The following is a 27,999-nucleotide window of genomic DNA, read 5'->3' as shown; positions in this document are numbered from 1 at the left end:
GCCGAAGAACGCGGGCTAGTGGTTGCCAAGGTAACGCGTCAACACTAGGGCCTTGGCGGCGCCGAGGCGGCAGCAGAAGTCCGGAGTCAGGGCGTGTGGCTGAGGAGATGGTGAGGGAGAACCTCAGATGGGCCCCTTGTGTCCTGAATTGGGTGGGGGCTCTGAGTGGGGAAAGTGGGGGCCTAGGGGAGGTCACAGTTGGGTCTAGGGGTCAGGAGGGCCCAGGAGTAAGGAGAACACCTCTAGAAGAAGCAAGGGAGATCCTGAGGTGGGTTCAAAAGAGGAATTAGGGATAGCATCGATAACGATTGGAAATGTGGAGCGCGCTGAGCGGAGGAGTTGGGGAGAAAGGGATGCCCCAACCCTCTCCCCGTTGCCATTACAGCGGGGCCTCTGTGGACCAAAGATTGTGGATGTGGTGTGGGAAAAAGCACTGGTGGGCCGGGCGCGGTGGCTTACGCCTGTAATCCCAGCACTTTGGGAGGCAGAGGCGGGCGGATCATGAGGTCAGGAGATCGAGACCATCCTGGCTAACACAGTGAAACCCCGCCTCTACTAAAAATACAAAAAATTAGCCGGGCGTGGTGGCGGGCGCCTGTAGTCCCAGCTACTCGGGAGGCTGAGGCAGGAGAATGGCGTGAACCCGGGAGGCGGAGCTTGCAGTGAGCCGAGATCGCGCCACTGCACTCCAGCCTGGGCGACACAGCGAGACTCCGTCTCAAAAAAAAAAAAAAAAAAAAAAAGCACTGGTGAGGAGGCCAGATAATGGGTCGTGGTACCTGTTTTGCCACTAACTAGCAAGGTGACTGTGGGTAAGTCATCTAATGTGCCCGAGCCTCAGGTTTTTCTTCTGTTAGCAGGGCTTTGTATCCCTCAGTAGTTAGTCAATAAATATTTGGCAGTGAATGAATGAATGAATAAATGAGTGAGTGAGTGAGGAGGGTCTCAGGTTTGCAAGGCCCGGGAGAGAGATTGGGACAGGACTGGCAGCCTGGGGTTTGCTGGGATGGGGAGGGCTGTCAGGGTACTGAGGGCTGAGAAGGCCAGCAAAGCCTGGGAGGAACCATGAAGGGGATGCCTGGGCTTGAGTGTGTTGGTCCCAGAGGGGAGGGGAAGGGCAGATGATAAGTGTTGGAGTCTTGGGTTATTGGAACTGACCTAGAATGTCTGGGGCACAACAGGTGGCAAAGGTTGCTACTTGGATGTACTTGTGGACAGACTTCAGGCCCAGGGGCTGCATTGCTTTTCTGGGGCTCAGTGGACCTCAGAAGAATTTTGTTAATTATTAAATAAGTCTCCAACAAAGAGCAGTTCCTGACTTTCGAGGACTCCCTGCAGTGTTGTAATTGGGGTGGGGGAGCGTCCCCTTTCACTTATGTATTCTATTTGATTCAGTGTCCCATCTTCTCTCAGCACCTTACAAACACAGTGGCGTATGTATGTATGTGAACACCTACTGTCATGCCTGGTGTCTAAGGGCATATGGTAAATGTTAGTTCCCCTTTTGTCCTCTTTTAAAAATTTCCTATTTCCAAGCTCTCATAGGGCATAAGTTGCACCTGGGCAAGACCTGTGGGCTTCAGAGCACCCAGATCAGGGATTCCCCATCCAGGAGCCACTCAGGGCAGGGGTTTGACTCACTCACTGAGCCCCTCTGTAATTCCTGGGACAGGACTGGGCATATAGACACCTTTGAGAAGCAGTGGGTCTAAGTTAGTGATCTCTGGCAGGCCAGCTGTGTGTGTTCGTGTACGTATAGTGCTACTCACTAGGTTTGGAGAATATTTAAAGGCATGAGAAGAGATAGTAGTGGTGGTGAGGGTCACAATTAGGCAGACTTCCAGAACTCTTACAAAAATAATGATTAAAATCCTGCAGAAGGAGAGATGGGGACCTCAGTACTGACTAGGATGTTATCTTCTGGTGGCATCCTACAGATGGCCAACTTGGTCCCAATTGAAGAAAGAGGATAATTGCGTGGATCACTCAGAGTAAAAGGCAAGGGGTCTCGTGCATGGGAATCTCCCTTTCTTGGTAACCAAAGTCTACAGAAAGGGAAGTAGAACCAGGCCAAGAGTTTGAAGCCTGAATTTGCCAGCCTGCGGAGACTGTGCAAAAGAAGAACTAGATCTCAGAATGGGTAAGACATCTAGGAAAAGACATATCTTTCCTGAACATGTCAACCTGTTTAGTTGACAGGTGTTGAAGTTACATCAGGGAAACTTCACACTGACCTATTCTAGCCCCATTCCAGCTTTGTCTTGCTGAATTTGAGTGAAACATTCTGGATCCCAGAATATATAATGCTATGGTTTTTTTGTTTGTTTGTTTGTTTGTTTTCTTTTTTAGGTCTGTACTCTCTTGCTTTCAGAGTTCGGGCACCAGGCCCATTGCTATGCTTTGTTTTCAAATAAAAATTGTTTTATTGTTTTTTTTTTCTGGTCATAAAATTGGTATCTACTCATTGCAGGAAATTATTCAATAAAGAAACATCTTAAGATGGTAAAGGTTCCTGACATACTGTTAAACATTTTTTTGAACATGCTTTCAGTAATACATTCTGGGCACATACCTGCCATACAAACATCTTTACAAGAGTACTTCTACATTTCTTTTTCTTTTTGAGATGGAGTCTTGCTCTGTCGCCTAGGCTGGAGTGCAGTGGCGTGATCTCAGCTCACTGCAACCTCCACCTCCCAGGTTCAAGCGATTCTCCTGCCTCAGCCTCCTGAGTAGCTGGGACTACAGGCGTGTGCCACCATGCCCAGCTAATTTTTGTATTTTTTGTAGAGACGAGTTTCACCATGTTGGACAGGCTGGTCTCAAATTCCTGACCTCAGGTGATCCACCCACTTTGGCCTCCCAAAGTGCTGGGATTACAGGCGTGAGCCACCATGCCTGGCCAAGAATACTTATGTATTTCTTTATTATTATTATTTTTTGAGACAGTGTCTTGCTCTGTCACCCAGGCTGGAGTGCAGTGGCTCAACCTTGGCTCACTGCAACCTCTGCCTCCCGGGATCAAGCAATCCTTCCGCCTCAGCCTCCCAAGTAGCTGGGACTATAGGTGTACGCCACCGTGCCTGGCTAATTTTCATATTTTTTGTAGAGATGGGGTTTTGCCATGTTGCCCAGGCTGGTCTTGAACTCCTGAGTTCGATGGATCCACCCACCTTGGCCTCCCAAAGTGCTGAGATTACAGGCATGAGCTACTGCACCCAGCCTTATGCGTTTCTTACAGTCTGTTTTCTTTACAACTTAACAAGTTATGGAGATCATCCTATATCAATGACTGTAAGTCAAAATTATCATTTGTTTGATCAGCAAATCTTTCTGCATCAGAGTCTCTCATAGAGCTCCTAGCTGTGGCTGAATTCTTGTGCTCCAGGAGTTGGATGGCTTATGAAGAGAGGGGGAGTCAGCTGAGTCACCAAGACGAAAATATCAAAGCAGGGCTGGCATCTTTATCTGTCCCCAGTCCTCATCTTCCCCAGACCCCCTGCCTTCTCAGCTGCCTTCCCTTCAAGAGTTATCTTCCTGCAAGCAGGACTGGATGTGCTTCTCCTTAGGCACTGTTCAGCTTCTTGGCAATATTTATTTGGTCATGCAAAGAAGAAAACCAGCCCGTCACCTCCTTAAAGAACTTCTTCGCTATTGCCTCTGGCCCAGAGGGATCCAGCTTTACATTTGTGCTTGATTCTTCATTTTTTTCTAGTATGTTTACACAGTGACCTCTCTAATCCTTGTTACTCTTGGCAAAACTGTTTATTCTAACCCTGGTGTAAGGCTGCGGCTTCAAAGTCAGCATTTCCCCAATGAGGTTTTCTCAACCACCCAACCCTAGAGTTCAGAGCTTCCCTCTGTCCTGCTCAGTGGCCACTTTTCTGTGGTCATCTGTTTTTCTTCCTCTGTTCTGGCTCAGGCAGTCCTTGCTGTGACTTCCTCTTGACCTGGGTACCAAGGGCATAGGAAACAGGAGATGCAGGCTCAGCCCTGGAGGAACCTGCAGTCTGGCGGACACTTCAGCACAAGGGAAAACCTGTTGGAGTCCTTGAAAACAGACAGGAAAACAAATGGAAAACAATAATACTTTCCATCTGTATTCCAAAGCCCTTTCACATACGTTATTATCCACAGTGGAGACCACATACGTGATCTGGAAAACATGGAATGGTGGAGTGACTTGGAGTCAGGCAGTTGTATTCCGGAAAAGTATCCATCTCAATCTGGTCTGCAGTCCTGTCCTTGAGAGGTCACCTTGTTCGGTTTTATTCATTCTTCATCAAATGCACATTGCTATATTGTTCCTACTACATGTGCCAGGCACTGCACCTTTTCCCTTAATTACATACAAAACTCATGATCCAAAGCCATCCACCTTTTCCAGTTATTCCCAATGCTTAGCCTCAATCCCACCTACTGAAGTTTCTATTCATTTCCTCTTATTCTATTTTTGGTGGAAAGGGGAGCCGTAGCTCACCACCTACCATATAATAACCCTTCAGAGGCTGTTATTAGGCATCCTTGGGGCTGCTATATTTACCTTTTAATAAATCCAAGCTTTTCTGCTCTACAGTATTGGGGCTGGCTGACGCTGTAGAGGGAGACTCCCTGTGTAAGCCTTTTGCTGGCTGTGCCGGGCAGTGAGGGAAATGCACATATAGCATTGTTCAATGTACAGCACAGAGACAGCTGGAAAATAATTGTCCAATCGAGTGTGAAAACCTGATACAGGAGTAACAGGTGCTGGGGTGTCTGGTTGGTAATGGCAGATCAGAGAGAGCTTTCAGAACACTGTCCAGGGCTTAGGGACCTGGAAAGCATGGTATATTTCCCTGTCTACCCTGTTCCTTTATCAGCTGCTGATTCCCAGGCTTGGGGAGACCCAATGTGCCTGGCCTATTCCTTCAAGGTAGCCCAGTTTAGAGAGGTGTGGGGCATGTGGGCTCCTCCAAAGTGAGGTTTGAATCAGCTTTATCATAAGCCTGGAGTCATCCAGTAGTCCTTGTAGACACTACCTTTTAGAGATAGACGTCTACTCTTGGGACTGAGATGAAGCTGCCTGTCCTTTGGGAATGGAGGTTGTGTTCGTCAGATTCTTAGTTACAAGCAACAGAGCCAGAATTCCAATTTAAGTAAAAGAGAATGTGTTAAGAGGGTTTTGGAGAGCTCACAAATAGGAACAAAAGAAGTTTCTGCAGCTGGAACCAAGACCAAAATCAAAACCTAGAACTGGTCTGGCAAGGACCCTGATGCACTGTTGCACCCCCAAAACTGCCAATTCCTTACATAGGGTGCCGCTGCTGGTATCGTTATCAGTGTTGCCCAGACGCTGGGTCTGGCTGCCAGTTCTGTTTGGGTCAGAAAGGTTTTCCTTGTTCTGCCTTTTGGTCCACTAGTTCCCTAGTCATTGTCAGTCCAGGGCCATCTCATTGGCTAAGCCTAGGTCCCTTGGCCAGGCTGAGGTGAATATTTGATGTTTTCAGCTTCTGTAGTTGGAGAAGAGCACTATCTCCCACAACTCATTAGATGGGGAATTTGCCAAAATAGGAAGTTAGTAGGGGGTTAAAAAATGACTAAGGCACACTAAAAGGGTCTTGGGAGAGAAACAGCCAAATAGTGGGTATTATGAACTGGTTTGCTTGATTATAGCTAGTAATCATTTATCATTCACCCACTGCCTCAAGTTTATTGGGCATCAACCACATGCCAAGCAGTGGGTGAGGCACTTTTCCATCCTTTATATCCTGTGGTCCCACCATAACCTTGTAAGATTGTGGAGACACGAAGGAGGTCAAACAGTAGCGTCATTTGTGAGAAAGACTTGAAGCACAAGCTGAAAAGATTGGAGGCAAAGGGGACACTGTGCGTGTCTCAGGGGGCAAGCCCAAGTTGCCCCACAAGAGATTGTCCTCTTGGGAAACTGGTACTAGGCAGATAATGAGAAACTGTTGCTTCTCTCCTCCTGCCATTCCTGCTTCCTTTATCCTTACTTCCATACTATGTGGCCGACTTGGCCTTCAGCTTCAGGGACTACAGAAATGCTCTTAAAAAAACCCCACAAAAAACAAAACAGTTTTGTTTTTAATTGACACATAATGATTGTACACATTTATGGGGTATAGTGTGATGTTTTGATACATGTATATACATTGTGTAATGATTGAATCAGGGTAGTTAGCATATCCATTACCTCAAACACTTGTCATTTCTTTGCAGTGAGATCACTCAAAATTCTCTCTTCTAGCTAGTTTGAAATATACAATGTAAATTAATATACATTGTATACATGTATATTTATATATATTATTGTATACATGTATATTAATATACATTTATATATAGTAATATACATTATTGTTAACTCTAGTCATTCTATTGCGCTATCAAATACTAGACCTTGCCATCTCATTTAATCTTATAACATTTATATTTCTCAAAATCCTCTCCTAGATATTGTGTATCTCTTTTGAGATATACAGTACATTATTATTAACTATAGTGGCCTTTCTGTGCAATAGAGCACCAGAACTTATTCCTCCTATCTAACTGTAACTGCGCACTCACTGACCAACCTCTCCCCATGCCCCTCCCCTTCCTCTCTTCAGCCTCTGGTAACCACCATTCTACTCTGTACTTCTATGAGATCAACTGTTTTACACAAATGCTGCTTTATGCAGAGCTCTTTTTTTTGCAGAGACCCTTCCCTGCTCTGTGGGGATGCCCTCCATCTGTTGCTCCTTGTCCCCTATGGTTCAGAGTTTACACAGCCGCTTTCCCTAACTGTTTCTTTTTCACATGCCCACCCACTCCCCCAGCATGGGCTGGTGAATTGTTGACTTCCCAGGGTCTGGATGCCACTCAGTACTGATGACCCAAACTTTCTGCCTCTTCCTGCAGCCACTAAGCACAGCTGGCATCCTGAGCTCCTCTTCTGCCGCTTCCAACAGGTCAAGGAATAAGGCTCGCTATCGGACCAAAGCCGTGAGCTCTGAGGTGGATGAGAGCCTCTTTGGAGATATCAAGGTAATCCTCAACAAGTCCTTTCAAGTTGATGCCACCTGCAGGCAGAGGCCCAAAAATGTAGCTCAGGGCAAAGCTTCTGCTGAGTAACCTTGCTCTCGTAGGTAACTCTCAGACTGAAGACAAAGGGGAATTCTGAGACCTGAGCTGCAGAGCTTTGGGATCTAGTGGGGCCTATGTAAACAGGGACACCTAGCTTCTTCCACCCTAGAATCTCTCATGTCTTCACAGTGTTTAAAATCTGTTATAATGTCAAAAGGGAGGCTCAGCTGCAGAGAGTGCAATAGTTGCTCAGTTGAGCTCCATGATGGAAACATTGCAGGGCTGATGGGCTAAGCTTGCAGACAATAGCAACATCTTCCCCGCTCCATCCAAGGATAATAGCATCAGAGTACAACACAAAACCATCCTCCTTTCCCAGTTGCTCAACTAAAACAATTACTTAGCTTTGGGAAACGAGCAGGTCTTTATTTGCAAGTGTTATCTAGACCAAGAGGTGGACAACTCCTTTAGTCTAGATAAAGAGAGCTAGATAGTAGAGCTTTGACTGATTTTGGTACATATGGAGTTTAGTAGGTAAGAAGGAAGAGAGGGAAGGAGAAAAAGAGAATATGACATGGAGAGAAGGGCAGTGAGAGATTAAGAGAAGGGGAAAAGAGAAAGAGAGACACTAGTAGTGACCTGAATGCCTCTGCCAGTGGGGAAGGTGGGGAGAGGAGTGTTGATGTCTGTCCCTGCTCTTCAACATCTTCATTGTGAATTGAAGAGGACTCTCCAGAGGGATTGAGATAGGCTTCTTAATCCATTTAGAAGACTCTCACTCTGCAGCAGTTTTCCTGTTGGTAAGGGAAAGGATCAACAGATGCATTTATTTTTTATTATTTTTTTAAAGATAGGGTTTCACTCCTGTCACCCAGGCTGGAGCTGGAGTGCAATGGTACAGTCTCGGCTCACTGCCACCTCCACTTCCCAGGCTCAAGTGATTCTCCTGCCTCAGCCTCCCAAGTAGCTGGGACTACAGGTGCACACCACTGCACCTGGCTAATTTTTGTATTTTTTGTAAAGACAGGGTTTCATCATGTTCCCCATGCTGGTCTTGAACTCCTAAGCTCAAGCAATCTGCCCACCTCGACCTCCCAAAGTGCTGGGATTACAGGCGTAAGTCTCCCCACCTGGCCAAAATGCAATTTCACTTACAGACATTTGTATTGTTGTTGTTGTTTTGGGTACATGTGGAGTTTTCTAGTCAAAGCAAAGAGAGATTTGGAATTGGCTGAGTTCTCCAGGAGTAGTCATGCTGGCTGGCAAAAGGGGGCTATCAGAAAAATGCTTGTCTCTTGTCCAGTTTCTTTGGCCTCATTGATGGGTAAGAGTTCAGGAAGTCTCTCAATGGGCAGTAGAGGGCAGAAGTGGCCTGTGGCACGACTGAGTTGTGCCCACGTGAAAGCAGAGATGGGCACCAGGTGGCAGCAGCACACAGGGGACTGTGGGTGCAAAGTGAGGTAGGACAAGTGGGGCCATCCCCCTGCCTCTGGTCAGGAGCACAGTGGCTGCATTAATGACACATCCTTTCCTGTGTTTAGACATTTTCTGAAACAGGTGATTTCATTTAATTGTTATCTAACTCCTTCAGGGTCGGAGAATTTTGAAAAAAAGAAAAAATCACACAGTTAGTCTGTGTTCTTGCTGAATTCTAACTCACTGACCTCCTCACCACCAACTCAATGAGCTGGCAGAGAGCTACCCTTAGATCTTAAGGGTAGGCCTCTGCAGGTCATTTAGCGATTTCTAACTCCCTGAATATGGCTTTTTGTGGGGGTTAAAGTAATTTAATCGTAAGAAAGAATTTAAAATTACCAATATCAAAGATTGTAAGAGTCTGTAACAAATTATATTGCTTCAAACCCACTGTGTGGTCCTAGAGAGATAATTATTTCTTCTTTCATAAAGGAAAATCTTTCATGGAGAGAGGAAAACCTAGAGAACAGAAATTTACTTTAATTCCTGATGATTTTAGACTAAGTATAGACACACACTAGTGACCCCCACTCCTTGTTATCCCTACCATTCTGCGAGGAATATCTGTATAAGAACAAGAGACTTGTTTTCAGAAAAGCTGGTCAGGGCTGGGCATGGTGGCTCACGCCTGTAATCCCAGCACTTTGGGAGGCCCAGGCGGGCGGATCATCTGAGGTCAGGAGATTGAGACCAGCCTGGCCAACATGGAGAAACCCCGACTCTACTAAAAATACAAAAATTAGCCAGGCATGGTGGTGGTCGCCTGTAATCCCAGCTACTCAGGAGGCTGAGGGAGGAGAATTGCTTGAACCCGGGAGGTGGCGGTTGTAGTGAGCCAAGATCGTGCCACTGCACTCCAGCCTGGGTGACAGAGCAAGACTCTGTCTCAAAAAAAAAAAAAAAAAAAGAAAAGAAAAGCTGGTCGGTACACATCCAGCCATGCTCAGATACAGGGCATCACGCTGCTCTATCCTTGAAGTTAGGACTGACCAGCAGGAAGTGGGGGTGACAAGCTTCTAAGCTATTCTTTCTGAACTCATAGTCCCCAGCCCAGGGCCAGAGCGACAGCCCCATTGTGCTGCTCCGAGATAAGCATACCCTTCAAAAAACTCTCACTGCTTTGGGCTTGGATCGCAAGCCAGAGACCATCCAGCTCATCACCCGGGACATGGTCCGAGAACTCATGTGAGTACACCGTCCCCTGCCCTTCTATGTCCAGTCCTCATCCTTTTGCTAAGGATCTTTGTAGGGAGATGGGTAAACCCACCTGGTTTCATTCTGTCAGTCCAATCCCCACTTCTTTCCTATTCGTTTTCCCCTTTTTGTTTGATAGTTCTTTCTTTCTTCTCCATCCTGGCCTCTCTTGTTTCTCCCATTGTTGTATCTATTATTGCCACTGTCCTTTATTCTCAGCTTCATTGTCCTTCCTTACTTCTAGCTGGCTGTGTGAGCTAAGGGACTGGTAGAGAGGAGGTGCTTAGTGAGTCCTCTCTAAGTCCCCATTAGTACCCTCCCTAAAGGGAAGTGATCCAGATGAGTCACTTCCTTTCGGCTGCATTAAGAATCTGAAGCAAAGGGAAACTGACCAGATGCCTAATTAGCCCCCTGGCTTCCTCCCAGACTCTAAGGCCATAGGAAGAAATTCACAGGGGCTCCCTGGGTTCCTTTGGGATTAGCTCAACCCCACTTCCTGACTAGAGCTGCCCCCAGGCTTGAGCCCATCCTGTGGGACTTAGGCCTAGCTCAACCATGTGCCATGAGCCAACACTGTGCTCAGTGGTTTAACTCTTGTGTTAGTGCTTCACCCTCTACAACCGTTCTCCCTGCCCTGGCTCCACCCACTAAAAGCCCTAATTCCCAGAAAATCCTACCTGTGTCACAAGCTGGAGAGGCACATCTAGCACACACCCCGGGAGCTGTGTCGGACTGCGGCCCCTTACTGAGCATGTCTGGTCAGCCGTGGCATCAAGTGGCCAGATGTGGCTAGAGCCCTGCAGCCACTCCTGGAGCCAGAGGAAGGGAGGAAGGGTTCCTTCTTGGAGCCATCTAGTCCTGAAAACACGTTGGAGGACAAGTGGCTGGTTATTTTTCAGGGATGCTGAAAGCAGTATAAACTGCTGTCTTAGATTCGGATCACTGCTGGTCACTCCAGATCCTAGGCTGTTTAGGGCCACGTTGCTTTGTGAAACACAAGATCTTGGCTAAGCTGCAAATCTACTCACTCATTCTGTCCATCTCCTGGACCACCCTCCCCCAACACACACACATTAGTTTTATTAGATGAGGTTTCACTTCCTGTCTCAGATGTCTGTGTCTTATTGGCATGTACCTGTCAAATTGGCATGTACCTGCCTCACCCAGAAGCAGCTTTCTTCCCACCCCCCTAACTACTCCCTCCCCCATCTTTAATATATGTCATTTGCTTGTAATCATTATAATTAGCGATTGGTTTGTTGAATGCGTTGGATAGCTAGAAAGGAGAGGTCTATAGACATGTCTCTGGCTATTGTTGATCACAGATTTTAATTAATATTTACAGTTCAAAGCTTCTCTCTAGGCTGGATGGGCAGGGAAGCTTAGGTTTCTAACTAGCATCTATATCAACCTTGTCTGGCGTCCCCTTGCCGTTTTTATGTCATCCTTGAGGAATAATCTGTTTTTAAAATTTAATTCAACAGCTTTGTTTTGAATTCTCACTCTGTACCAAGCGCTATGCCAGAGACTAGGCTACCAGTGTGGTTAAGACAGAGTTTGTGTCCTGAAGGAGCTCATAAAGGAAACAGAGCTGCCCAATTGGCTGTGATACAGGCAGTAAGAACAGAGTGCAGTGTGGGCTCAGAGGAGGAGGTGATCTATTGGTCCTTGGTGGGGGGGCAGAGTGGGCACATGTGGACATGATGGGGGGTCTCAGCTGCACAGAGAAGGTAACATATGAGCAGGACCTAATAGAAAAAGGACTTAAAATGTCTCTTTTTAGCCTTCAATGCTACCTGACCCCCCACTTGGAACATCTACTCCCCAGTGGACCCATGGCACACTTGCCGTCTCTTCTGCCATTGGGGGAGTCCACTGGCATGATGGGAAGAGGGGAAGAGAGCAGAGAAGCCTGAAGTGTGGTGCTGAGAGCTTTCCCTCTCCCCTCCCTAACTCTGTTTATTCTTGTGACAGTGTTCCCACAGAGGATCCCTCCGGGGAGTCCCTAATCATCAGCCCTGAGGAGTTTGAGCGAATCAAATGGGCATCCCATGTCCTGACCAGAGAAGAACTTGAGGCCAGGGACCAGGCCTTCAAGAAGGAGAAGGAAGCCACCATGGTAGTTAACCTCCCTAAGCCTTCACCTCTGCAGATGGGTGGCAGAATCAAAATGCACTGGGGAACTCTCATCAGGGGACCCTGAAATGAGGCACAAATTATGTACTTAATGAAGAAATATTACAGAAAGGAGACCAAAGAGCAATACCTGAGATGAGAGGTGGGAGCAGCCGGGGCCAAGGGGAGGGCTGAGAATGAAGCCAGGCTGTGGAACTTCTTGGCTCTGACATCATCACTGGCCAAGGCAAAATTGTACTGGGTCACCTGTGGTAGCCAGGCTAGCGCCCAGGGCACAGAGCGCATGAAATAATCTCCCACTGAGCCAGACTGGTCTCCCTTAGGATGCAGTGATGACACGAAAGAAGATCATGAAACAGAAGGAGATGGTGTGGAACAACAACAAGAAGCTCAGTGACCTGGAGGAGGTGGCCAAGGAACGGGCCCAGAACCTCCTGCAGAGAGCCAACAAGCTGCGGATGGAGCAGGAGGAGGAGCTCAAGGACATGAGCAAGGTGGGCTCTTCGTCTCTCCCTTCCCTCTGAGCATTCACTGCCATCCCTCCGCCCTCCCCTTATTCCCGCACTGGACAAGGCCAGGGACTGGTGGGGGTGTGGGCAGGGGTGGGGCGGGGGAGAGCTGCACCTGCTGTGGTAGTTGCAGTGATCACAGTGAGGACTGGCTCTGCCACCTGTTCGCTGTGTGACCATGGGCAAGTCACTTGCCCTCCCTGAGCCTCACTTTCTTCATTTGTAACTTGAGGGTGGTAAAACTACTTTGTGGAATCATTGGCAGGATGAAATAAGGTAGTAGATGGGAGAGGCTTTGTGGGCTGAGGATTGGTAAATTAAATGTGCAGTGTTACTTTTATTTTCATCCTGTTAGTTCAGTTCTGGCCACGTATGGTGGTCGAGGCAATTGGATGCTTTTGGAGTACCCAAAGCTTTTCCTTTGGCTGAGAGCCTAAAGACCAGAGGCTCATTTGAATTCTGTTGTAACTCATTTGCATGTGGTTCACTTCCTTACCAAATGAAAAGTGCTGATTCCCCAATCCCTGCACCTCTGATTTCTGTCTCTCAGGTAAATCTTCTCTATGTATGCCTCCTTTAATTTTCTAAAGGTTTTACTTTTGGGTTCTTATTCATGGGCCCGTGGTTTTTCATCCCTTTTGTGTCATGTTGGGCTCTTCCAGCTTAAAAATCTTGTGGCCTGGCCTCTGCAAGAGTGTCTTAGCTCCCCTGAGGAGAACAAGGGGTCCAACCTGGAGTTCATGGGTCTCTAAGTGGAACAATGGACCTCTGAAGTTTTATAGAAATTTTGTGTGTACATGTATAAGTGAGTTTTATGGAGGAGAGGGCCGTTGCTTTCATCATATTTCCAAAGGGTGACCCATTACCACCAAAACCCTAAGATGTAGCTCCCTGAAAGATGCTATTCCAGGCCCCTCCTTGCACAGACCCTGGCACCTAGCAGGAGGCCAGTAAATCTTTGAGCTAAACTATATTAAGGGGAAAGGTAAATATAAGAACATTCTTATTTCCCCGGACTTGTGAGCAGTCATGCACACCTCCAGCATGCTCAGCAGTATAGCATTCTGTTTCCATTTCTTCCCCTTAAACTTACACATCCCTAGGCCTAGTGCTACAGTTTAATCTCCACTCTCCAGATTATCCTCAATGCTAAGTGCCATGCCATCCGGGATGCCCAAATCCTGGAGAAGCAGCAGATCCAAAAAGAACTGGACACAGAAGAGAAGCGGTTGGATCAGATGATGGAAGTGGAGCGGCAGAAATCCATTCAAAGGCAGGAGGAACTGGAGAGGAAGAGGAGGGAGGAAAGAATTAGGTAAAGATGTGGTTTTGGCATCTCCCTCTCTAAGCTATTTCCATGTATCTTTAGGTCCATGTAGCCTAGCAAAGAGGGAAGAGATGAGAAATGGTCATTATTGTCATCTACTTATTATCTCAAAACTTTACGAAGTGATACATAGAATCACAGAACTTTTTTTTTTTTTTAGAGGGAGTCTCACTCTGTCGCCCAGGCTCTGGAGTGCAGTGGCATAATCTCGGCTCACTGTAACCTCCACCTCCCGGGTTCAAGCGATTCTCCTGCTTCAGCTTCCCAAGTAGCTGGGATTACAGGCATGCACATCCACACCCGGCTAATTTTTGTATTTAGAAGAGATGGGGTTTCACCATGTTGGCCAGGCTGGTCTCAAACTCCTGACCTCAAGTGATCCCCCGGCCTCAGCCTCCCAAAGTGCTGGGATTACAGGCGTGAGCCCGGCCAGAATCACAGAATTTTTAGAAGCTTATTTCCCAAATCCTAGGAGGCACTTCACAGTCTGGCTGCAATCAATCTCGTTTCTCACCCCTACCTGCCATCTACTCTGTGCTTTTTCCCAGGCCCCCAACATGCCAGGCCTTGTGACAAGTTCTTAATTTTTTTTTGTTTTCTCTTTTTTGAATACCCTTTTCTTTCCTTTTCCTCCTGGAAAATGCTGTCTCCTTCCCTTTATATATAGCTTTGCTGTCACCTCCCTCATGTCACTAGGCAGGCTTAGTGGCTCCCTTCTCTGTGCCCATCACTCTGTGTTTATGCTCCAGCATCCCACTCTTGTGCTGTGGCTTTCTGACCCTCCTAGATGCTACGCTCATTGCGGACAGGTCCTTTCGTATCCAGTTCTGTAGCTTCTGAGCCTAGCAGAGTGTTTGGCCTGTAATAGGTGCTTAATTCATGTTGGGATGAATAAATTCAGTCTCCCCTTCATTTTGTGCAGAAAAGGACAAGTCCCAGAGCAAGTAAATTATAGAATAATAGTGTCCTAGATTTAGAACGCCAACCATACAATACATGAATTACCTTTATAAATAATCTTTGTACCACACTGAATGGCAGTTTTATCTCCCCAACTGTATCCTGTTCTCTGGAACCATTCATCTCTGTGTCTTGTGTACTATACCTGGTACATTCACCTCTGTACTTCTGGTAGGTACCTGGTATACTATAGTAGGTTCCCAGTGAAAGGTTACTGAGTGGCTAAGTGGCTGTCCATCTTCTGCATAAACAGCTCCAGCAAAGGAAAACTCTGTCTTGTTAGGCAACTGTAATGATTTGAGCTGGTCCTTGTATTGAGCCCAAACTTGTTTTCATGTAACCCTTTTACTCTTTACTCCTGTTTACTTCATCTGGAGTCATGAAGCCATTCGAGCACTCCATCTGAATGTGGCTCTCATACTCTTTCCCCTCAATTCTGATCCTAATATGTGTCTTCTCCCGTTCTTCCAGCCTTTACTCATATGTCATGGGGTCTATGCTTCCAAGTTTATTGACATCCCACTAACACATAGGGAATCACTGACAACATTGCTTGTACACCCTGGGTTTGTTTGTTTGTTTGTTTGTTTGGCTTTTTACTATTCAGCTAGCTTCCTATGATTACTCTGGGAAGAATTGGGAGGTGGTAGGATTTCAGAAACTCTTTATATACTGGAAGGTAGAAGGTGTTTTATCAAGTGGGGTACCCCTCTTGGACAAACAAATAAAGAAGGAGAATCTCAGGAAGAGTGAGCCCTGGAACCAGGAGCTCAGGAGAAAGGAGGCCAACCCTTGAGGTCCTTCCTGGGGGAGGGACTTTGGTCTGGGCTCATGAAGCATATTCATGTTTAGGGGGCACTTGTCAAATTGTTTCGGTGACACCACCCATCTTGGGGGTTGTTTAGGTGGAGGTTGGACTCTGGGAGATGTGGACCCGGGGTTTCTAAGACACTGTGGCACTGTTCTCTCCAAGAGGAAGGCGGCAAATTGTGGAACAGATGGAAAAGAACCAGGAGGAGCGATCGCTGCTTGCTGAGCAGCGGGAGCAGGAGAAGGAGCAGATGCTGGAATATATGGAACAGCTCCAAGAGGAAGATCTAAAGGTAACAGGCCAGACAGACAATGCCACGTTTCACCAGCTGCAGCATCAAAACCCTTCAAGACTCTGGGGTTTCAGGGTGTTGACTGATTTTCTGCCAGGCACATGCTCATTTCACAACATCATCACCGTCAACTTTTTATTGCCATGTTAAATATTTATTTCACCATGGTGTCACGCTGCGGGATGAGCAGTGATTTGGATAGATATTGTCCCTTCCTTCCAAGGACTTGAGGTCCAAGACTGACATATCACTGTGAATAGACACATAAAGGAAATATATGGCTGCATGCTTTGCACAAGTAAACATAGGGATGTTTTATAGTCTTCCTTCAATCACCTAGGGATATTATATACTTTGTAGATGAACAGTAGCAATATCTTAGTTCCAGACTCCCTGCTGTTACTTCACTCAAAGTACATAGCATCCCATTGCCATTAACTGTGTTGTGAAGCCAAACCTTTTCTTCCTGTTAGTCCAAATAAAATTAGTAAGCATATTTATTGCAAAAGAAATGACAACATACCTGCCCAAACTAAGAAGACTTAAAAAGTCATCTTCTGTATGCCTTCTCTGGGCTGTAACAATGTATAAAACCCTTTAGCACAGTGAGGGACATGGCAGGCACTTGGATAATTTATTTTTTTCCTCAATTTTTTATTTTGAAAAATTTTGCACACACAGAAAAGTTGAAAAAATTGTATCACACCCATCAACTCTTCACCTAGATTTAATGATTGTTAATCATTTACCTTAGTTGCTTGTTTCTTTCTAGGTGTGTGTGTATATATATATATATATATATATATATATATTTTATTGTTAAACTATTTGAAAGTAAGTTGCAGATATCTTGACACTCTGCCACTAAATGCTTCAGCCTGCAGCTCTGAAGAACATGGACACTCTCTTACATGTCAACAATACCATTATCACCTCCTCCATCAAAAACTTGAATTCAGTGATTCCATAATATCATCTAATAGTTAATCCACATTCACATTCCCCAATTGTTCCAAATATGTATTTCTGGCTCTCTTGTTTCCAAACTAGACGTTAATCAAGGTTTGCACATTGCATTCCGTTGAGTCTCTTTAGTTTGTTTTGATCTAGAAGAGTTCCCCCATTCATTCATTCATTCATTCATTCAGTTCTTCATTCATTTTTATAACACTGATATTTTGAAGCATCTAGGCCAGTTGCCTTTAAGAATATCTCACATTCTGAATTTGTATGATTGCCTCCTCATGGTGCCATTTAACTTGTGGAACACGTATTCTTTTACGATTCTCTCCCTCCCCTGTGTTTATGAATTGTCAAGTTGTCATCAGCTAGTGCATTTGATGGTGGTGAGTGACAGGGGGACGTGAAGAGTGCTGCAGGTGGGCAGACTTGTAATTATGAAGCCTTCTCATCACATCTGCAGTGTGAGGAGCTGCTAGAGAAGTGCAATGAAGATCACCTGGGTAGTTGGGAAACTGAAGGGGCACACAGCTCTGTGAACTGCATGAGAAGGAGAATAGCAGGGTGAAGGCAATGAGAGACCTGGCCAAGTTACTCCATTTCCTGGCTCAGGGGAGAGAGAGTGGGAAAGGGCCAAGAAGGAAAGTTATGGGGCAAATATGCAAGGTAGTGGGTGAGAAGTGAGGGCAGGAAAATCCAACTAGATGTGGGGAGTGGGAATTAGTGGGCTCACTGAGGAAGTTCTAGGAGTCCATGAGTCAGCACCATTATGTTGATGTTGTGTCATTATCCTTTTAATGTCCTTCTAACAGGCACTCCCTGAGTCTCCAGGAAGTATTATTGGGCAACTTTAGCAAGGAAACCTGTGCCTTCCCAGCTTTAGACCTACTGTATCATCTCATGGTGGTACGAAGGGCAGCGTTTCCCACCTTGCTAACAAAGGGGGAAAGAGTGAAGGGAATTTATCTGGGGTTGCTTTGGAAGGGCTTCAAAAGAAACAGGGAAAGTCCTTTGGTGTCTTGGAATTGAAATGAGCCAACAAAAACAACAATCCAAAAAGTAAATAAATAGGGAAAGAAGTAAATAAATACATGATTGTATGTATGTCATACATCAGAAATCAACAGCATCTTTAGCTTTGAGGGCCAGTGAGATTAAATGATGTCTGGGATACAAATAGCAGGCCTAAAATCAGTGAGAAGCAGTTAGGAAGGAAAGGAAGAAAGGGAGAAGGGGGAAAAGGAGCGAGAGAGTTGGAGGGGCAGAAAGGGAAAAGTGGAGTGAGCAAAGAAATGAGTATGGTGAGAGAGAGAGGGAATGTCTGTGACTCACGCACCACATGGACCTCAGAGGCAGAGAGTTGCCATACCGCTCTGGTTCAGAAGCCTTCCTGAAGGAAGAAGCCTTGAACTGGGCAGTGAGCCAAGCTGGCAGAGAGCCAGCACTACAGGAAGACACACAGGGAGAGTTACCTTGGTTAGATGAATCAGGGCAGCAGCTGGGCTGAGGAAGACCTGGAAGGCCAGGGAGGGATTTAGTCTTTGGAGAAATGGAGGGAGCTGGAAACAGTGTGGGAGGTGGGGTGAGTTAATCAATAGAAGAACTTAAGGAGTCTGAGATTGATTGGAGGTGATTGGGGGGCCAGCTGTTCCCCTAATTCCGATGCCCCTCTGCACCTGAGAATGTGCTTGGCTCAGAAGTGGTCTGATCATTGAGAGCTGTTGAAGGCTCAGGTCTGGGAAAGGCAGGGGGATCCTTCCTTAAAAACGACCTTGTTCACATTGGTACTCTGATCTCCGTCAAATGTTTCCCTGTGTCTAAGAACTTTTTTTCTTTCCTTTCTCACATGCCTCTCACTTTGGTCCTACCTTTCCTGCCTCATTTATCAATGGTTTATCGAATATTTGCTATTTTCCTTGCATTGGGCTACATGTTGTTGGGGAAGAGAGGATGTGTGACACAAGGTCCCTTGTCCTGTAACTGGGGCAGAGCGAACACATATGAAATGAGTGGGGACCTGCAAGGCAGTGTATGATCACCTTGCAAGAGGTGTGTCGCCACCTTAAGTGCAGAGAGAATTTAGAAATGGAGAGAGAATTGAAAGTTGAGGCAATCAAGCAAGATTTCCAGAGAAGGTTGATACTTTAATTTAGACAGAACAGGTTTCAAAATTTTAGCTCTGGAGATTATAAGCTGTGTGGCCGGTGGGGAAGTCACTTCAATGCTGGGCCTCAGTTTCTTTATTGGAGCAAGAGAGATAACAAGGCCTACCTACCTTTTAGGATTTTTGGACATATTTAGGTATTAGAGATAGTCTGTGTACAGTGCTCAAGAAATAGAAAGCACTCAATTAAGGCAATATGTATTATTTCAGTCGTCACTATTGACTGGAGAGTGAAAGTTAGGTTTAAATGGGAGAGGAACATTGAAGGCAGGAGAAGCACCATGAGCAAAGCCACAGGGGTAGGATTTAGCAAAACATGTGAGAGGCAATTGTATGGAACTTTAAGAGCTTCTGCTTCCTGAAAATATAGAGATCAATAGCATCAGGGGCTGCCACAAAGTCAAGTTGGATGAAGACTGTAAATAGGCCATTTGGTTGAAGAGGGTATTTATGACCCTTGAAAAAACAGCTTTAACAAAGGATAGTTGTGGACACTAGACTGCAGGCAATGCATTTGCCCCCTCCTCTGTCTGCATCTCTCTATCCCTGGATGCCAGTGGCTTCTTGTCTTACCTCTTTGTACTCTGAGGCTCTCTTTCTTTTGCTGGCAGGACATGGAACGAAGGCAGCAACAAAAACTGAAGATGCAAGCTGAGATTAAGCGCATCAATGATGAAAACCAGAAACAGAAAGCAGAACTGCTGGCTCAGGAGAAGCTGGCAGACCAGATGGTGATGGAGTTTACCAAGAAGAAGATGGTAGGGACTTGGTTTCTGGGACCTTTGGTTAGGAATGGAATGTCTGTCACAGGGAGAGGAGGGCCTGAGAACTAAGGGAACTCCAGTGGAAGGCAGCCGCACCTTCATTCTAAGATGCACATCCTTAGTTCAAGGGCCTGGCTTCTTTGTCTCTTCATCTTAGCCAGTCCACTTGTTCGTTAACAGAGACAGCCTAGAAAGGACAACCAAATTAGCTTTAACCTCATTAACACCTTTGATTAGAAGTTGGGATGAGGGCCATATGCAGGCAGAAAAGAAAACTGAAACTATTGGTGAAAGTGAGTTTTTTTGTGGATTTGTCATGACTTGCGTAATTATACCCCCGGTAATCATGAGTCAGCGGTTACATAAATTTCTTGTGCAAATGCCTATATTGGACATCCTGTATTGGGTGCTAGACTCAGAAAATAGTCTTCCCCCATCTCCCACCAAAGAACCTATATGACAGAGCAAATGCACAGTGGAGGAGAGAGCCATACCTGCAGACAGTTGCAGATGGATGTAGCTCATGAATGTGTCAGCTCATTCTGGGGCAAAATTGAGTAATAAAATGATTGGGATCTACGGGGATTGGAGAGTAGAAGAAGGCTTTTAAGAGTGGTATAGATAAAGTGAACATGGATTTATGTAAAAAGAGGAGGAAGTACTCAAGGTGGCAGGAAAGTTATTAAATTCTTCATGTGTTGATCTTGTCTGCCCTGCTAGTTTTGAAATTCCATGATGACAGAAACACATTGTACTTCTCTATGCTCCTCTATAGTAGTGATTTTTAAAGAAGGCCAGGGGGAGGGTGTGAGTATAATTTGAATGGCATATTTGGTACACCTATATGTTCTGAATACAAACCACAGAAAATGAAGCTCAGCGAAGCTCACTTATTGGCTTTAGTATTCTTATTGGATGCTGGGGACACTCTATGCAAGCAATAGAGTGAGAATGCAGGTTTGGGGACATAGATGATTCCTACATAATAACAATCACATAACTATCATTTAGTGAGCACCTAGTCTGTGCATAGGCTCCGTGCTAAGTGTTTTACACGTGTTATCTCTTTTAATCTTTACAATAATCCTGTGAAATGGTCACTGATGATTCAAAATATACTGGATGCTTCAATATGTGTCCAGTCAGACTAGGCTGAAAATACCTAGGATAATGCTGTACCATTGGAACTCAACCACTATTTTCCCAAGTGAATGAAGGTGGGGATGATGAGCTAATTCTGTGTAGGAGTTAGTGCACATATTTTCTGGCTGCAGCAGAGGGTTGGTAGTGGATATAATAAGAAATGAGGGTGGTGAGATGACAGAGAGCTAAGAGCAGTTGTTGGGGTGTCTTGGACATTGAGTGGAGCTGGAAGAGTGGAATGATAAGGAGTCGCCATGAATTTCTAAGCAAGAGAGGAGTATATCTTGTCTTTATCATGGAAAGGACATTGTCAAGGTGTAGCTGGGAGAGGCTGGAGACTGGCCACGGAATCAGGCACTTGGGCATGTCCACAGTCCACCGTAAGTATCTACGTATATCACAAGCCCTTACCGACCTCACGGTGGTATCTATTCTTGCAGCCAGGGCTGCCCCTGCAGAGCTAAAAGCAGAAATTGGTTGTAGAAACACCCAGAGTTCCCTGTCCTGTTATCTAGGGCAGGGTGGACAAAGGAAGCAGCTTGACAACAGCCCCGTACAACTTACAGGGACAACTCACTGGGCTTCACAGAAGTCTGGGCAGGTAGAATGAGGGCAAGGAAGGTTTTTTTTTTTTTTTTTTTTTTTTTTTTTAGATGTAGTCTTGCTCTGTCACTAGGCTGGAGTGCAGTGGTGCGATCTCAGCTCACTGCAGCAACCTCTGCCTTCCGGGTTCAAGAGATTCTCCTGCCTCAGCCTCCCGAGTAGCTGGGACTACAGGCATGCGCCACCATGCTCAGCTAATTTTTGTATTTTTAGTATAGACACTGTTTCACCATGTTGGCCTGGATTGGTTTGATCTCTTTACGTCATGATCTGCCTGCCTCAGCCTCCCAAAGTGCTGGGATTACAGGCATGAGCCACCATGCCTGGCCGGGAAGATTCTTTATAAATGTCACATTTGCCTCCAACCTGCACCATTCATCTTACGATTGCTCAAGAATGGCGTTGGGAAGCGGGCTTGGGAAGCTTTTAAGGATATACCTGTTTTTTCAGAGAGGTGGAAAGGGAGCTAATTTTGGTGGTTCATTCTTTAAGTATCTGGTAACCACTGTGGGACTGCCCAAAGCATGGTTGGCTCTTTGCCCAGGGACTAATGAGATAACCTCCACCTGCTGTACTTTACAAGACAGGCACAGGACCAGTTGTTTCTTGGCCCAGTAGCCTTGCAACTTGAAAATTGTCTATGACATAGTGGAAGGAGTGTGAAAGCCAGGGTCAGGGTACCTGTGTTCAAATCCTGTTAGGTAGTTTACTTCCTGTGCAATCTTGGGCAAGACCCTTGATCTTTCTGACCATCCGTTTCCTCATCTATAATATCTGTCTCAGGAAATGTTGTGAGGGCTCTCCAGGATAACACATAGGAAAGTGTTTTGTAAACAATAAAGCATTTTATAAATGCTAATTGTTTTATATTCATGCATTGCTAAATTCATTTTACCTTATTTATTTATTTATTTATTTATTTATTTTGAGACAAGGTCTTACTCTGTTGCCCAGGGGAATGCAGTAATGCAATCATGATTCACTGCATCCTCGACTTCCCAGGTTCAAGCAGTCCTCCTATCTCAGCTTCCCGAGTAGCTGGGACTATAGGCACATGCCACCATGCCTGGCTAATTTTTAGATTTCTAGTAGAGACAGAGTCTTTCTCTGTGGCCTAGGCTGGTCATGAACTCCTGGGCTCAAGTGGTCCTCCTGCCTCAACCTCCCAAAGTGCTAGGATTATAGGCATGAGCCACGGCACCTGGCCTTATTTTGTCCTATTTTAAAAGGAGTCAGGAAGTGGTAGGGGAGATATTGGAAAGTCTGTTGTAGGGGTTTTGTTTCTCTCTGCAAGGCTGGGGCAATGGCAACTATTCTACAAGGCCTTTCCTTCCGGCAGGCTCGAGAAGCAGAGTTTGAGGCTGAGCAGGAGAGAATCCGGAGGGAGAAAGAGAAGGAGATCGCACGCTTGAGGGCCATGCAGGAGAAGGCCCAGGATTACCAGGCAGAACAGGTACCTGCTTAGTCTCGACTTCCCTCTACTTTTCCCACTCCCTTGCCTATCCATCCCTTTGACAGCCTGTAGAATGGCCTTGAGGGTGGAGATGCGGAGGAAAGGATGCAAGTTACCTAGACTTCAGTAGTCTGAGAAGGAAGGGGTGGCCTGCTCCCAGGGCCTGTGTCAGCAGGGATTGGGCAGTGCAGCCTGTGCTTAAGGTTCAAGAGAAAGTTTTTCGCTGCTCCATAAAGAAGAACTTTCAACCTTAACCAACCAATGAAATGTGTCACCAGGGGAACCTGTGGTATCTCCATCATTAGCAGTTTTTAAAATTAGAAGCAATTTCAAGACTGCCTGGAGATGTCTGAGGTACAGGGAAAGAACTGGGATGAGTGGGTTGGAAGGACAAGATGACCCCTCAGGTTATCTTCTAACCCAAAGGTTTGATGACAGGATTCCATTTATCTTTTCCTAGAATAACTAGCTGCCAGAGAAATTCATGATGCTTTTCAAAGCAGACTGTCAGAGTCTGTAAGTAGGTATCTTCTTAAAGCCACTTGGTCTGTACTTCCAGCTATTTTGTGCCCTCACTGGTCCCCTGCCAACATTCCCAGGATGCCTTGCGGGCCAAGCGCAACCAGGAGGTTGCAGACAGAGAGTGGCGCAGAAAGGAAAAGGAAAATGCGCGGAAGAAGATGGAAACAGAGGCTGAGCTGCGAAAAAGTCGGCTCGAACAGGTGGCTTTCAAGGAGCACGCTCTGGCTGTTCAGGTGCAACGGGACCGGGATGAGTTCGAGAGGATTCTTCGGTAGGAGGGGCCTGGGAACCTTGGATTCCTTTCCTTGTACTGTAGCAGGGATGGTCCATATTGGATAGAGAGAAGCTTTCTGGCATGTTAACAGATGCTCGTCGATCTTGTCTGGGTTGGTGGGATCATTATAACTAGATGGATGATTGAAACTTTTAAAAATCACTTGAGCCAAGAATTATGTGATTAGAGAATTGGGAGATAGCACCTGGAATTGCTTAAGGAATTGGTGATGACTGGGATTATTTACCCTGGAACAGTAAAAGTATAAATAAAGGTAAAATTCTGGTCCATTCTGCTGCCCTCTGACCCATGTGCCCCTGCAAATTGGGGATGAAACTGCAAGAGGAGTGGTTTAGGAAAGATAGAGAAAAGAACTTCAGACACTAAGGGTTGTGAGTCACTGGAGCAGGACTTTAAGGGAGCTGTTTGCCGTTCATTTGACAAATATATATTAAGCACAGAAATGCAGGGCTCTGTGCTGGATGCCATGGAGGACATTAGCAATTAACAAAACACTGCTCTTGCCCATTCCACAGGAAAGGTATTAGAGATTTGTGTTTGGATGGACTGCACCTACATCAATCCATCTTTCTTCCTTGGTAGCTATTTATCCTTTTACTTTTGTTTTCCCTTTTGGCTCAATGATAATTTCAACACATAAGTGGAAGCTAAATGTTCACATCTCTCACTGTTCTGCTCCCTCCCCAAAAGCAGTCAACAGTCACAGCTCCCATTGGTTTCCCTCTCTGCTCTGTTTTCCACCAGTCAGACCTGGTCCCTGGGGCTGTTCTCCTGGTCTAACTGGGAATGACTCTCTTTTTGCTCTGGTTCAGACTCTACAACATTAGAATTTTTCAAAAGGAAACAAGCCAAGCAAAATTCGAATTGAAGGGATACAAAATTATAGACATTATGCTCAGATAAGTAGAGATTAAACAGTATAGCATCACTTTCTTGGTTCATATGCTCTAAGTCCTTCCTCTTGGCAATGGGTAGTTAGTGGCATGCCAGACCAGGCTACCCAGACCCCTAGTTAGAGGCAGAGCAGGTCTTCGGGAGCCTCTATCCTTACGAGAGCCAGATTTTTGGCCTTTTATTGGACTGCAGGCCCCAGCATGTCCCCCCTGCCATGATACCCTTTGGCTCTGTAATTTTCTCTGCCCCCAGGGTTGTGCCATGGTCACTGGACACCTAGTGAAGAAAGTAGCTTCCTAAATGCCCCCCAAGATTCTGCCCTTGGGCTACAGACTGCCTTCCAGATGTCTCCTCTCTCCTCCCTGGCCTCTATGCCCTTGGACATCTGTGTTGCTGTTAACAGGCACTAATAAATATTAATGAAATGAAATTTAAGTCCTACTTTTGCTGCCGACCCATTTATCTTTCCTTTGCATCATTTGCCTGAAGCATATGCACTAGCCAGTTATTAAAGCTAGACCAGCCTTTTTGGAGAAGTTCAACTTCACCTATTGTTGTAGGTTAGTATCTAGGCCTAGTGTCTCCAGGGCCATGTGACCACCATGTTTGGTGTCTTTACTCAGAAGCATCTCTGCCACAGCCCAAATCCAACTTTCTCTGCCTCAAAAGCACAGCCTCCTCTATGGCCTATATGTGGACTTTTGTTTCTGGACAGAGGGATGTCCATACTTCTCAGCCTGTTGACTAAGCAGAGATAGCTGTCTTCCTCTACCAAGTGGTTTTTAGAAATGTCTTGGAGCTTTTGAAAAATACGATGACCAGGCTTCACTTCCTAGATTGTGATTTAAATGGTCTGGGATTAGGCCCATGCATGAGTCTGTTTCAAAAGCTCCCAGGTGATTCTAAAATGTAGCTAGGCTCTGTGATCACTGCCCTAACCCGATGGAACGACCAGGTTCATCCTCATTTGGATTTTCAACTGCCTGGCACCACCGGGGCTCTCTAGTGACACATACAAGTCCCCCTTTTCCACACTTACCCCTTCACTCAGAAGAGGGTGAAACAATAGAAAACTGTTCTAAATATAGGAAAACAATGGCAAGGCAAAGAGGAGAGTCCCCCTGCTATCAGAGATGTGTCTGGGAAGTCAGGATTTGGTGTCTAAATACAGAGGGCTGAGGAAGCCAACAGTATTCTTCGGGTAAACTGGGAAGTCTCTGTAGAAGGCACAGAATTTTAGGAGATGTTTGCATGATGGAAAGAGTTTCTGGGAGTGGGGAGGATGCCGCATGTATGGTGGATCTTGGAAGAAAGCTAGAGGGAAATGAGGAAATGAAGCAGTGTTGTAGGTACCTTTTGTTGGGGTATCGGTGACTCTAGGGGAGGAGAGCAGGTGAGAAATTCCTGCCTAAGATGATTTTACATTTCATTTTTTAAATTATGTTGAGAACAAAATTAGATGTTAGCTTAAGAAGGCCTATAAATGCATTTTTTTCTGAGATGCGAATGCATTTCATTTGAGTGTTTTCTGAGCCTTTCCTGTTGCCATTAGTGATTTTCTCCCTGATGTCAGGGTCCATCAGGTATTTTTGTGGAAGAGGTTTCTAAGGGAAATTTGGAGAGGTGGATCAGGAAGAGAACTGAGCGATATCAGGCTGAGCTCCTTCCTTCCAGTAACCAGGGTGGAGCTAGCATGACACTTTATGCATCTTTTACATTTCCAAGCATAGAGGGAGGGAGGGAGGGAGGCAGGAAAGGAAGGAAGGAAGCAAGGAAGAAGGAAGGAAGGAAGGAAGGAAGGAAGGAAGGAGAAGAAATCTCAGGATAAGCTGGAGAGGAGTTATACATTGTTATCAGGGAGAAGTAGGAACAATAGTTCCCAGTGGGTGAAACCCTGGGTGTAAGACTGGTTGCATAATTTTCAGGGCCCAGTGAATATTGAGAATGTGTAGCTTGGGCAATGTAATGAGACTTCATCTCTACAAATAATAAACAAAAAATTAGCTGGGTGTGGTGGCACTCTCTTGTGGTCCCAGCTACTCGGGAGGCTGAGGTGGGAGAATCACTTGAGCCCAGGTGGTTGAGGCTGCGGTGAGCTATGATAGCACCACTGCATTCCAGCCTGGGTGACAGAGCAAGAGAGTGTGGACTCCCTTGTTCAAAAATTATTAAGAATTTCAAAACAGTGAAAGCAGAGCATCAAACCAAGCTGGGGGCCCTTCTAAGCATGCCCATGACATACAGTCATGCGACCCTGGAGCTAGTCCTGGCTGGGTAGGAGAAGGGGGCATGCATGTGCAGCAGCTTTTGGGGGCTGATCCTTGAGTTACAAAATGGGGCTGGAGCCCAGAGGGCTGTGGTCTCTGAGGCATGTCTACTGAAGGAGCCCACCCAGGAGGCTCCCCCACCACCTTTCCTGGCCTGGGCCAGCTCAGCTGAGTTCATTCCATTCCTGTTTCCCTCCCCCAGGGCTCAGAGAGAACAGATTGAGAAGGAGCGGCTGGAGGAGGAGAAAAAGGCCACAGGGCGCTTACAGCATGCCAATGAGCTCCGGCGCCAGGTGCGCGAGAACCAGCAGAAGGAAGTGCAGAACCGGATTGCCACCTTTGAGGAGGGCCGGCGCCTCAAAGAGGAGGCCCAGAAACGCCGTGAGCGCATCGATGAGATCAAGAGGAAAAAGCTTGAAGAGCTGAGGTGCGCTGGAATCTCCTCCTTTCCCAAATCCTCTTCCCTCCCGCAAAGAGATGGCACCACAGGCTGGAAAGCATGGGGATTTGGGGGTGAAGGGCCATGGCAGAGATGCTCAGGGAGAGGCTCTTCTCCCCACCCAGGGCTCATCCCTCTGAAGGGGGCTCCAGCAGAAAGTCCTGGGATGGGGTCTTGCTGGCTCTCTGGGAGCTCCTTGGCAGGATGCTGGAGCCTTGGCATGAATGTGTGTTTCGGGGGTGGATTGTGAGAGCAGGGTTGGGGGGTGCAGGCCCCCAGGTTCTGTAAACCCCACCCAGAGCCTGCTTCCTCCCACCTCCTGTCTGGTCCAATACCTTTCCTTATACCTGCCTGCGTTTCCCCGGCAGAGCCACTGGCCTTCCCGAGAAGTACTGCATTGAAGCTGAGCGCAAAGCTAACATCCTGCCAGCTACCTCTGTGAACTGAGGGGAGCCTTCGTGGCCCTCAGGATGCCTTCGGGGGACAGATTCTGCCCAGTCTCTGGGCATCCATAATTGCTGCTAACCTAGACATTTCATAGTTACAGATTAAATCTACTTGACTTTAAGGAACAGCTTGGCTTTCTTGTGGGAATGTGGCTGCTACAGGGTACTGAAGGTGGAGTAAAATAGGATGGGGGGAACCCGAGTGTGGGTGGTGTGGGGCTGAGGGTAAGGGAATGGGAAGATGCTCTTTTATGATGGTTTCTCCTAAGCCAGGAGGTC

General features: G+C 46.3%; 1 protein-coding gene, 1 long non-coding RNA gene and 1 other non-coding gene across 4 annotated transcripts, besides 2 other annotated features; 2 read left to right on the top strand and 1 right to left on the bottom strand.

The window, feature by feature from the left end:
- Positions 1–40: 40 nt before the first annotated feature.
- Positions 41–27,842, top strand: CFAP45 (cilia and flagella associated protein 45). The gene is made up of 12 exons (NM_012337.3): positions 41–110; positions 6,901–7,026; positions 9,584–9,726; positions 11,710–11,854; positions 12,195–12,365; positions 13,517–13,695; positions 15,641–15,770; positions 19,506–19,652; positions 22,744–22,857; positions 23,457–23,650; positions 27,038–27,262; positions 27,643–27,842. The coding sequence occupies exons 1-12, from the start codon at positions 108–110 to the stop codon at positions 27,719–27,721; spliced, it is 1,656 nt and encodes a 551-aa protein (NP_036469.2). The 5' UTR covers positions 41–107; the 3' UTR covers positions 27,722–27,842.
- Positions 127–227, top strand: MIR4259 (microRNA 4259). Its single transcript, NR_130464.1, has one exon. It is a non-coding gene; the product is annotated as a microRNA 4259 (primary transcript).
- LOC124904434 (uncharacterized) lies at positions 6,980–9,994 on the bottom strand. 2 transcript variants are annotated; one of them, XR_007066678.1, is made up of 3 exons: positions 9,809–9,994; positions 7,705–7,859; positions 6,980–7,061 (listed from the first exon to the last, which is right to left on the bottom strand). It is a non-coding gene; the product is annotated as an uncharacterized LOC124904434 (long non-coding RNA). The 2 variants fall into 2 exon arrangements; XR_007066677.1 differs by lacking the exon at positions 6,980–7,061 and having other exon boundaries at positions 7,471–7,859.
- Positions 9,621–10,820: an enhancer, noted in NCBI's record as "CDK7 strongly-dependent group 2 enhancer chr1:159859176-159860375 (GRCh37/hg19 assembly coordinates)". NCBI's record gives its function as "activates an origin of replication core promoter dependent on BRD2, BRD4, P300/CBP, MED14 and CDK7 cofactors, with strong dependence on CDK7, by STARR-seq in HCT116 cells {active_cell/tissue: HCT116}" and the evidence as "EXISTENCE:reporter gene assay evidence [ECO:0000049][PMID:35650434]".
- Positions 10,298–10,417: an enhancer, noted in NCBI's record as "active region_1904". NCBI's record gives its function as "activates an Ori minimal core promoter by ATAC-STARR-seq in GM12878 lymphoblastoid cells {active_cell/tissue: GM12878}" and the evidence as "EXISTENCE:reporter gene assay evidence [ECO:0000049][PMID:35858748]".
- Positions 27,843–27,999: the final 157 nt, after the last annotated feature.

This window comes from Homo sapiens, chromosome 1 (assembly GCF_000001405.40).
Source record: "Homo sapiens chromosome 1, GRCh38.p14 Primary Assembly".
NCBI lineage: Eukaryota > Metazoa > Chordata > Mammalia > Primates > Hominidae > Homo > Homo sapiens.
The sequence above is the reverse complement of the archived record's forward strand: the minus strand, read 5'-3'. Positions and strand labels throughout refer to the sequence as shown.